Source organism: Homo sapiens, chromosome 13 (assembly GCF_000001405.40).
Source record: "Homo sapiens chromosome 13, GRCh38.p14 Primary Assembly".
NCBI lineage: Eukaryota > Metazoa > Chordata > Mammalia > Primates > Hominidae > Homo > Homo sapiens.
This window is the reverse complement of record NC_000013.11, coordinates 20,524,061-20,535,149: the sequence shown is the minus strand read 5'-3', so window position 1 is coordinate 20,535,149 and position 11,089 is coordinate 20,524,061. Positions and strand designations below refer to the sequence as shown.

General features: G+C 45.6%; 1 protein-coding gene across 3 annotated transcripts in view, besides 4 other annotated features; it reads left to right on the top strand.

Moving 5' to 3' along the window:
- Positions 486–780: an enhancer, noted in NCBI's record as "tiled region #3329; HepG2 Activating DNase matched - State 9:DNaseU". NCBI's record gives its function as "activates a minimal TATA promoter and a strong SV40 promoter by Sharpr-MPRA in HepG2 cells {active_cell/tissue: HepG2}" and the evidence as "EXISTENCE:reporter gene assay evidence [ECO:0000049][PMID:27701403]".
- Positions 6,320–6,429: an enhancer, noted in NCBI's record as "active region_7425". NCBI's record gives its function as "activates an Ori minimal core promoter by ATAC-STARR-seq in GM12878 lymphoblastoid cells {active_cell/tissue: GM12878}" and the evidence as "EXISTENCE:reporter gene assay evidence [ECO:0000049][PMID:35858748]".
- Positions 8,778–8,887: an enhancer, noted in NCBI's record as "active region_7424". NCBI's record gives its function as "activates an Ori minimal core promoter by ATAC-STARR-seq in GM12878 lymphoblastoid cells {active_cell/tissue: GM12878}" and the evidence as "EXISTENCE:reporter gene assay evidence [ECO:0000049][PMID:35858748]".
- Positions 9,068–9,617: a silencer, noted in NCBI's record as "silent region_5153". NCBI's record gives its function as "represses an Ori minimal core promoter by ATAC-STARR-seq in GM12878 lymphoblastoid cells {active_cell/tissue: GM12878}" and the evidence as "EXISTENCE:reporter gene assay evidence [ECO:0000049][PMID:35858748]".
- Positions 9,293–11,089, top strand: part of CRYL1 (crystallin lambda 1) — a 122,189-nt gene continuing 120,392 nt past the window's right edge. For all 3 annotated transcript variants that reach the window (NM_001363647.2, NM_015974.3, XM_005266416.6), the window contains exon 1: positions 9,293–9,396. In NM_001363647.2, the coding sequence (NP_001350576.1) occupies positions 9,356–9,396 (41 nt within the window). In that variant the 5' untranslated portion in view covers positions 9,293–9,355. The remainder of the gene's footprint in view (positions 9,397–11,089) is intronic.

Genomic DNA, 11,089 nt, shown 5'->3' with positions numbered 1-11,089 from the left:
ATTCAGTTGGGATATTTGTTCTTTAAATGCTCGGGAGAATTTACCCTTGATGACATCTGAGCCTACAGTTTTCTTTGGAGGACAGTTTTTTAAAATTACAAATCAATGCCTTTCACAGACAGAAGACTTACCTGTTTCTTTCTGAGTGAGGCTTAGTTATTTGTTTCCTTCAAGGCTTCCAGGAATTTGTCCATTTCATAAATTCATTTATTTATTGACATAAAGTTGCTCATAAATTTCCCTTATTACCTTTTTGTTTTTTGTATGATCTGTAGCGATATTGGTAATTTATGTATTCTTTCCTCTGACCAGTCTGGCCAAGGTTTTACTGATTTCATCAATCTTTACGAAGAAACAATTTTCGGTTTCATTCATTTTCCCTATTAACAATTTTCTCTATTGTTATTTGGTTTTCTATTTCATAAATTTCTCTTTTTTTGAGACAAAGTGTGGGAGTTCAGTCAGGCTGATGGGAAACATTTTAAGATGAAGTTATAAGATATAGACACAAATCTTCTTGGAAGGCTAGAAGGTTTTGCAAAAGTCTCAGGATAGGGTTAGCTGAAAGCAGTCTAATCCTTACCTTGAGTAAATAGCTTAAAGTAGATACAAAGGAATGTAGAGTAGTTTATTTAAATAGCTTGTTTACTCATGTGGTCCTCAGTCCAACCTTTGATCAACCACGGGTGCATAATTGCTCTCTACTTGGGGGGTGGGCAACAAGGTCAGTTACCCTCTAGTGGTGTTTACTCAAGACCTTTGTCATTTAATCTATACTGAATAAATGCGAGCTTCCCTGGCTGAATGGGGCCACGGCTGCTACTCTTTACAGCACCTTCATCGGTGTCTGTGAGTGGCCTGGACCCTTAGCCAGACTAACAGGCAGAATATCTGTGTCAGTGTATGTTATTCATCTGTCATTGGGTCAGGGTCTGTGGGATGGACCCCTGCAGTGGAGTCTTGCTCTGTTGCCAGGCTGGAGTGCGGAGGCGCGATCTCAGCTCACTGTAACCTCCGACTCCCTGGTTCAAGCGGTTCTTCTGCCTCAGCCTCCCAAGTAGCTGGGATTACAGGCACACACCACCACGTCCAGCTAATTTTTGTATTTTTAGTAGAGACGGGGTTTCACCATGTTGGCCAGGATGGTCTCGATCTCCTGACCTCATGATCTGCCTGCCTCGGCCTCCCAAAGTGCTGGGATTACAGGCATGAGCCACCACACTTGGCCCCTATTTCATAAATTTCTGTATTTTCCTTTTTAATAACTTTGAGATTAATTTGCTTTTCCTTTTTCTAATTTTTAAAGGTGGAAGTTTGATCATGGATTTGAAAGCTTTCTCTTTTCTAATATTGGCATTTAATGGTATACTAAGAACTGTATGGCTCCATCCCAAAATTTAAATACTTTATGTATTTATTTTAAAATTTTCATGCAATTCTAAGAGTTCTGTCAAATACATACTGTAAATATGCACTACTGGCAAGACACAGAACAGTTCTGCTCCCCTCTCAATTCCCTCTCTCTGCTCCTTTGTATTTAATTCTTCGCCGCACTCCTGGTACTCACTGATCTATTCCCTATCCCAATCATTTTATCATTTCTGGAATTTTTTTTTTTTTTTTTTTTTTTTTTTTTTTTTTTTTTTAGACAGAGTCTTGCTGTGTCACCCAGGCTGGAGTGCAGTGGCACTATCTTGGCTCACTGCAAGCTCCGTCTCCCAGGTTGACGCCATTCTCCTGCCTCAGCCTCCCAAGTAGCTGGGACCACAGGCACCCGCCACCATGCCTGGCTAATTTTTTGTATTTTTAATAGAGATGATGTTTCACCACGTTAGCCAGGATGGTCTCGATCTCCTGACCTCATGATCCGCCCGCCTTGGCCTCCCAAAGTGCTGGGATTACAGGCTTGAGCCACCATGCCCGACATTTCTGGAATTTCATATAAATGGAATTACACAGTATATAGCCATTTGAGTCTGGCCTGTGTGAGTCTGGCCTGTGTGTGTGTGTGTGCGTGTGTGTGTGTATGTGTATCAGAGTCTCACTCTGTCGCCCAGGCTGGAGTGCAGTGGCCTGATCTCAGCTCACTACAACCTCTTCCTCCTGGGTTCAAGTGATTCTCGAGCCTTAGCCTCTCGAGTAGCTGGGATTACAGGTGCCCACCACCACACCTGGCTAATTTTTGTATTTTTAGTAGAGGCAGGGTTTCACTATGTTGGTCAGGCTGGTCTCAAACTCCTGACCTCAAGTTATCTGCCTGCCTTGGCCTCCCAAGGTGCTAGGATTACAGGCATGAGCCACTGTGCCAGGCCAAGTCTGGCTTCTTTCATTTGACTATCTCTTCTAGATTCATCCACATTGTGTACATTTGTTTTTACATTTTACATTGTGTTCATTCCTTTTTATTGCTGAGTTTGTTCCTTTTTATCGTCCATTGTGTGGATGTACTATATGTACTCCATATCGTTTTCCCACCTACCAATAGAATGGCTATTGGGTGTTTCCACTCTCTGGACTATAAACAATGCAAATGCAAATGTTTACATACAGGTTTTCCTGTGAACTACTGTTTTCCAAAGTACGATTTTGCATTTCCATCAGCAATATAGGAGTGTTTCAGTTGCTTCACGTCTTCACTGGCACTTGGAATTCTCAGTTTTGTTTGTTTAAACTTTAGCCATTCTGTTAGGTATGTGGTAGTATCTCATTATGGTTCTGATTAACATTTCTCTAATGACTAATCATATTAAGTATCTTTTCATGTTAACCATGTATCTTTTCAGTGAAATGTGTTCAAATCTTTTGGTTATTAAAAATTTTTTGGTAAGATATACATAACATAAAATTTAACATCTTAACTTTTTTTTTTTTTTTTTTTTTTTTTTGCAACAGAGTGTCACTCTGTCACCCAGCCTGGAGTGCAGTGGCAGGATCTTGGCTCACTGCAGACTCTGCCTCCTGGGTTCAAACAATTCTTGTGCCTCAGCCTCCCGAGTAGCTGGGATTACAGGTGCACACCACCATGCCCAGCTAATTTTTGTATTTTTAGTGGAGACAGGGTTTCTCCATGTTGGCCAGGCTGGTCTCAGACTCCTGGCCTCAAGTGATCCATCTGCCTCAGCCTCCCAAAGTGCTGGGATTACAGGTACACACCACCATGCGTAGCCTTAACCATTTTTGTGTGTACAGTTCAGTACTGTTAAATATATTCCCATTGTTGTGAACTAACCTCCACTGAAGTGGTTTCTTGTGCCACTGAAACTCTATTTCCAAACTCCCCATTTCTTTCTCCCCACAGCCCCTGACAACCACCATTCCACCTTCCGTCTCTATGAATTTGACGACTCTAGGTGCTTCATATATGTACAATTATAGAATATTTTTTTCTTTTGTGTTTCGTTTATTTTACTTAGCATATCTTCAAGATTGATCCATGTTGTAGCATCCATCAGAATTTCCTTCCCTTTTCAGGCTGAGTATATTCCATTGTATGTATATTCCACATTTTTGTTTATCAATTTGTATTAATCCATTCTCACACTGCTATAAAGAATTGCCGAGAATGGGTAATTTATAAAGAAAAGAGGTTTAATTGACTCACAGTCCCGCAGGGCTGGGGAGGTCTCAGGAAACTGACAATCATAGTGGAAGGCAAAGTGGAAGCAAGGACCTTCTTTTTTTTTTTTTTTTTTTGAGATGGAGTTTTGCTCTTGTTGCCCAGGCTGGAGTGCGTGGCACAATCCCAGCTAACTGAAACCTCTGCCTCCTGGGTTCAAGCGATTCTTCCTGACTCAACCTCCTGAATAGCTGAGATTACAGGCACACACCACCATGCCCAGCTAATTTTTTGTATTTTTAGTAGAGATGAGGTTTCATCATGTTGGCCAGGCTGGTCTCAAACTCCTGACCTCAGGTGATCCACCCGCGTTGGCCTCTCAAAGTGCAGGGATTACAGGTGTGAAGCACTGCACCTGGCCAGGACCTTCTTCACATGGCGTCAGGAAAGAGAAGTGCAAGCAGAGAAAATGCTGGGTGCATATAAAACTATCAGATCTTGTGAAAACTCACTCACTATCACAAGAACAGCATGGGGGAAACCACCCCCATGATCCAATCACCTCCTAGCAGGTCCCGCCTTGACACATGGGGATTATAATTCGAGATGAGGTTTGGTTGGGGACACAGAGCCAAGCCATTATCACCTTTCATTTATTGATGAACACTCGGGTTGCTTCCACCTTTTGGCTATTGTGAATAATGCTGCTATGAACGTGGGTTTACAAATAACTGTTTAAGACAAACTTTCAATTCTTTTGGGTACATACCCTGAAGTAGAATTGTGGGATCATCTGGTAATTCTATTTTTTGTTTTTTGAGGAACTGCCCTACTATTTTCCATAGTGTCTGCTATGCACCATTTTACATTCCCAACAACAGCGCATAAGGGGTCTCATTTCTCCATATTCTCACCAACACTTGTTATTTTCTTTTTTGTTTGTTTGTTTTGACAGTACCATCCTAATGTGTGTGAGGTGGTATCTCATTGTGGTTTTAGTTTACATTTCCCTAATGACTAATGACATTCAGCATCTTTTCATGTGCTTATTGGCCATTTGTATATTTTCTTTGGAAAAATGTCTATTCAAGTCCTTTGCCTAGTTTTAATTGTTTGTTTTTGGTTGCTGAGTATGAAAGAAAATGAATTAATTAAGGCTTAAGTTTAAGACTTCCTAAAGTGGAGGAGTTGAAAGATTACGAGAAGACTGCTCTTATACATGCTAACGGTCCAACCACAGAATGTTCCGATAGACTTGGATAACAACTGATGTCAGTATACACTGGACTCCAACAGGAAGTACTCTAAACATCCAGAATGGGTTTGCAATTTAGGATTTCTGCCTAACCAATAAACTTCCTCTGAAAACAACTTTCTGTTCAGGGCTGCCCTGATTCAGTGTACCTGAATTGCAATTCCTTGTTTCCCAAACAAGGGCTATTTTATTTGACCTCTGAGGTAATTTCTTTTTAGTTTGCCCATTTAAAAATTTTAAGAATTATTATTGAGGCTGGGCGTGGTGGCTGACACCTGTAAGCCTATCACCTTGGGAGGACGAGGCAGGTGGATCACCTGAGGTCAGGAGTTCGAGAACAGCCTGGCCAACATAGTGAAACCCCATCTCTACTAAAAATACAAACATTAGCCAGGCGTGGTGGGGGGCACCTGTAATCCCAGCTACTTGGGAGGCTGAGGCAGGAGAATTGCTTGAACCTAGGAGGTGGAGGTTGCAGTGAGCCAAGATTGTGCCATTGCACTCCAGCCTGGGTGAGAGTGAGACTCCGTCTCAAAAAAAAAAAAAATTATTATTGAGTTTAAGACTTTTTAATATATTTCCTATACAAGCCCTGTAACATACGTGATTTGAAATATTTTATCCCAAATTGTGGCTTTTCCTTCCATTTTCTTAATATTGTCTTAGAAAATGTCTAAGTTCTTAATTTTGATGAAGTCAAACTAAGCAACCTTTTCTTTTATGTTACGCTTATGATGTCATATCTAATAAATCTTTGCCTAACAGTCACAAAGTTTTCTGTTCTCTTTTGCATGTTTTATAGTTTTTAGGTTTTACATTTAGGTCTATAATGCATTTTGAGGTTTTGTATGTGGTTAAGTGGTAAGAATTAAGGTGTTGATTATTATTATTATTTTTGCTTATGCATATCCAATTGCTCCAGCACCATTTGTTGAAAAGACTATCCTTTTTCTATTGAATTGTCTTTGTACCTTTCTCAGTCAGTTCAGGCTGCTGTAACAGAAGTACCATGAACTGGGTAGCCTATGAACAACCAACATTTATTTCTCACAGTCTGAAGGCTGGAAGTTCAAGATCAGAGTGTCAGCAAGATTGGGCTCTGGTGAAGGCCCTCTTCAAGGTTGCAGGCTGCTGTCTTCTTGTTATATCTTCATATGGTGGAAAGAGGACAAGAGAGCTCTCTGTAGTCCCTTTTAAAAGGGCAGTAATCCCATTCATGAAGGCTCCACCCTCACGACCTAAATACCTCCCAAATGCTCCAGTCCCTAACTACCATCACATTGGGAGTTTCACTTATAGTAAATGCTGAAATCACGTAGAGTTCTTCTAAATGTGTTCTTTTTCAAACTTGTTGTGTTCCTTTCAATAGTAACGGATTTTGTTCTGGAGTACAGTTAAGTTACCTGGAATCTGGGTGGTCCTTGTGAGGCTGGCTTTTGATCTTTCTTAAAATGGTTCCAGAGAAACCTTTAGTCTAGGACTAGCTTAGCTCCACTGCTGAAGCCACATGTTCCTGAGGATTCTATCTGGTGTCCTGTGTATTATGAGGTCTTTTCAGTCTGGCTGTGGGAACACACATCTTTGAGTCCTGCATGAGTCTGGGGGTGGTTGGCTTACTCATTCTGGGACTTCTCACCCCACCCTCTCACAGGTTCCTCTCTCACACGCACAGCTCAGCACTCAGCCAAACATGTGAAGGGCCTCTCTCTTCTACAGGTCCCTGGAGTTCCCTCTTTCCCCTGAGTGTTTGCCTCCTCTCTGCTACCATGCCCTGCAAATTCTCATCATTTGGCTTTTCTGAACTTCAGTCTCCTTTTTCCTTAACTCAGTGAGAAAACCAGGCTCTGAGCTTTCCCTTTCGGAGCTGCAGCCCATGCCTTGTCTATTTCCCTCTCTCAGGGATCGCTGTCCTAGGCTGCCTCTTGTCCAGGGTCTGAAATCCCTGTTTCTTCTATTTTGGGGGCCTTCTAGTTGTTTCAAGAAGGAGTTTAAGTTTCATCCTTATTTTTCCTCTTGGTCAGAAGCAGACATTCTCCGAAAATTCCATAGTCTTTAAAAACATTTCTCATTGATATTCATCATGTTTTCAATATTTTTCTATTAACAACCATGCTGAAATAAAGAAATTTGTCTAACTTCTTGTCCACTTGAATTTCTGTACAACAGATCTCTAGAATTGGAACTGCTAAGCCAAAGGGTACATACATTCTAAATTTTGTGTATGTCAGAAACTGCAAGGGTCTGAGATTTTCACTAAATTGCAACAGAGGTTCTGCACTTGGATGCTGACAGAAGTCACGAGACTCCTGGATTAAAAATAAATTATCTTATTACAGTAAAAGCAATAGCCAGAGTGACACCATATTTATATGGGTTCTTGGATCCTTAATTCCCACAGGGTTACATAGAGGGCCAGATGACTCCTGTGTTTGCAACGAGCAAGGGCCCAGCACTTTTTGCTTTCTTTTTTTTTTTGAGATGATGTCTCGCTCTGTCGCCCAGGCTGGAGTGCAGTGGCGTGATCTTGGTTCACTGCAAGCTCTGCCTCCTGGGTTCACACCATTCTCCTGCCTCAGCCTCCCGAGTAGCTGGGACTACAGGCGCCTGCCACCACGCCTGGCTAATTTTTAGTAGAGACGGAGTTTCACCGTGTTAGCCAGGATGGTCTCGATCTCCTGACCTTGTGATCCGTCCGCCTCGGCCTTCCAAAGTGCTGGGATTACAGGCGTGAGCCACCGCGTCCAGCCACTTTTGCTTTCTTTTGAGACAAAGTCTTGTTCTGTTAGCCAGGCTGGAGTAGAGTGGCAAAATCATAGCTCACTGCAGCCTTGAACTCCAGGGCTCAAGAGATCCTCCTGAGTAGCTGGGACTACAGGAATGCACCACCACACCTGGCTAATTTAAATAAATCTGTATTTTTTTTGTTTGGTACCAGAAGGATTAAAGTTATAAATATATGTACACATAAATAAATAAATATATAAACACACACACACACACACACACACACACATATATATACACACACACTAGAGATGCGGGGGGGGGGGTTCTCACTATCTCGCACAGGCTGGTCTCAAACTCCTGGCTTCAAGCAATCCTCCTGCCTCAGCCTACTGAGTAGCTGAGACTACAGGCGGCACCAGCCTGGATAAGTTTTTTAATTTTTTGGTAGAGACAGGGGTCTCGCTTTGTTGCCCAGGCTGGTCTTGAACTCCTGGCCTCAAGCTATTATTTACTACTCAGCTTCCCAAAGCGCTGGGATTTCAGGCATGACTTTGCAGGGAGCAGCAAACAAGCCAGTCTGCTGCCCCCATAGCCTCCGGTAGTGAGCAGTCACAGGATGCTCACTCCCTGGGTGCCTTGATTATTATATTGGCTGCCTGTGTAACTGACTACAGAAACTGCTCCATCAGAAGATGGAAGCTTTGGAGCCTTGTATTCTCAGCCAGAGCAGGCGCGGTTGCTCAGGCTAGCGGCTGTCTCAACAATGTACTGTAACATTCCCTCCAAAAAGTCCTCAACATTTAAGCTTGCCTTCTACTGTGTGTAAGTTGCATGTCCGAAACACTCCATTACGGATATGGGAATATAATCAATCCATGTGACTTAGCCAATCTGATGAGTGAGAGATGACTTATCTTCCTTGTGTTACTTTTCATTTCTCTTGAGGTTGAATACTTTACAAATATTTATCGATAATTTGTGAAACTGTTCTTTAAAAAACAAAACAAAACAAAAAAACCTAACCCCTCCCCTGAGATTTCTCTTTCCACGTTCCTGACTCAGGGGAAACAAAGGAAGACTTCCTTTTATCATCTCAGTGTTGGCTGCGGTTCCAGCTTGAGTACTGTCTCCTCTGTCTAATGACTGTGTCATTTCCCGTTCAGCTTGTGCTGTGTGGACGCACACCACTGTCAGGCAATGTGTGATGCCCCTTCCTCTTGGTCTGTTCCGGGCTCCAAGAAGGCCAGGAGTCAGGGCACGAGGGCATTTCCTTTTTCTGATACATAAACCGAGTGCAGAGTGTGCTCCGTGGAGGAATTCAGACGTGTCCTTCCGTAGCGCAGATGAACGCATCAGGTGTTCTCTTTCACTGCTGTCGCAGTCCCTGCGCCCAGTTCGCAGTTGGCGGCAGCGGCAGGCGTCTTTCAGAGACGAATTAGCAAAGGGGACATTCTCTGACAGTTTCTCTAGGGTGCTTTAGCGCTAGAGCCCGTGCCAGCCTGCCCGTGTCCCCTCCTATAGACACGGACTTCACGGTGAATGCTGACAGTCACAAGCGCGTGGTCTTCCCGCTTTCCACCCCCCGACGTGCCCCCGCGCTGGTCCTGCCCCTGCCCACGAGGGTCGGCGCGCCGTGTGTCTCCCGGTGTCTCGGGCCCGCGGCGCGCACCCCACTCAGGGACCAAGCGGCCCTCCCCGCCCTCCCGGTCCGCGCGCGCAGCCAATGGGCGCGGGACCCGCCCTCCCCGGAGCCCAGAGCTCGCAGCTCCGCCGGCGCCTGGTCCCAGCGCCCGCGGCGCCGCGTCCCCGGCCCAACCATGGCGTCCTCCGCGGCCGGCTGCGTGGTGATCGTTGGCAGGTAAAGGGCTCCGAGCCGCGCTGCTGCCCCTGGAGCCCGGGGAGACGCCGGGGACGTGGTGCCCTCGCGTGGGGCCCTCGGGGTGGGCGCCGGGTCGCTGTCCCCGCCCCGGCCTCCGGTCCTCCGAAGCCCTGCGCCCTGCGGCCCCTACGGCGCTGGCGGGCTCGGGGAGAGGCGCGGCTGGAGGGGCTTGGCAGGTGGAGGCGCCCCGCGGAGTTGGGTCTGCTTCCCGGGAGCCAGCGTTGCAGGAGGTTCCGAGGTTGACCGCCCAGGCCGCGGGGCCTGCGGTTCCTGGACTCTGTTGAATGTCGCCGCGTCTGCCCGCAGGTCCACATAGAAGTGCCAGGCACCGTGTTGAATGAAACGAATTCTGGCTGCGATCCTGCGACGACTGTGTTCTCATCCCCATTTTACGAATGAGAATACTGAGACTAAGCAGTTTACCTAAGGTCACAGGCGTTTAGTGACGGAGACAGGACTAGCCCAGCAGGGAGGGTGCCAGCGCAGTCCTGTCGGCGACGATGTCGCTGGAGGCCGCAGCAGGTGTTAGGCGAACATACACGCAGTCCTAATTCCTGGGCGAGGCGATGTTTCCAGAGGGGAGGTGGGGGCCGATGGAGCCCAGAGAGTTTGCTAAGTGTGTCCATTTAACAGCTTAAATTCTGCCCAAACTGATTTTTAGTGTGTGCTTCCCCCACCCCGCCCCCCACCCCTACGGTTACAATCCTTGCTATTTTTGTTTTTTAAAAAGGGGCATTTGTATGTACCTTTCTTTGGCCAGCTGTTAGCAGCAATCTATAAACATGTTAATACTTGCTATTGATAGTTAAAAGCACCTTTTTGGTGACTGCTGTTGAGGTGTTGGCCTGCCCCCGACTCCGCCCCCCATCAGTGTACAACCCGGTGTGGAGACCACTTCCAATGTCAGGGTGTTTCCTTCCCACTGAAGGAAGGCATCAGATTCCTTGTTGTCAGCTTTCTTTTCTCCAGAGCAGTGGAGTTAACTGTGCCTTTGTTCTTTCTGGCCCATGAGTGCCCGTGGTTGAATAGTGAAGGCATATTAAAAAGTGCACTTTGGGCCGCGCGCGGTGGCTCACCCCTGTAATCCCAGCACGTTGGGAGGCCGAGGCAGGCGGATCATCTGAGGTCGGGAGTTCGAGACCAGCCTGACCAATATGGAGAAACTCCGTCTCTACTAAAAATACAAAATTAGCCGGGCGTAGTGGCACATGCCTGTAGTCCCAGCTACTCGGGAGGCTGAGGCAGGAGAATCCTTTGAACCCGGGAGGCGGAGGTTGCGGTGAGCCGAGATGGTGCCATTGCACTCCAGTCTGGGCAATAAGAGCGAAACTCCGTCTGAAAAAAAAAAAGTGCACTTTGTACCAGTGGTGGTAGTTACCTCTGTCTTGCATTTTATTAATAGTTACCAGAGTTTATGTGTGTGTGTATATATATACACTCACACATATATATACACACACAGTTTTTACACGCATGCGTGCGCGCACGCGCACACACACACAATTTTAATAGGATAGGGTCTCGCTCTGTCGCCCAGGCTGGAGTGCAGTGGCACTATCATGGTGGATCTCCACCTTCCGGGCTCAAGCCATCCTCCCACAGCAGGCATGTGTCACCATACCCGGCTGATTTTTAAAATTTTTAGGTAGAGATGGGGTCTCACCATCTTGCC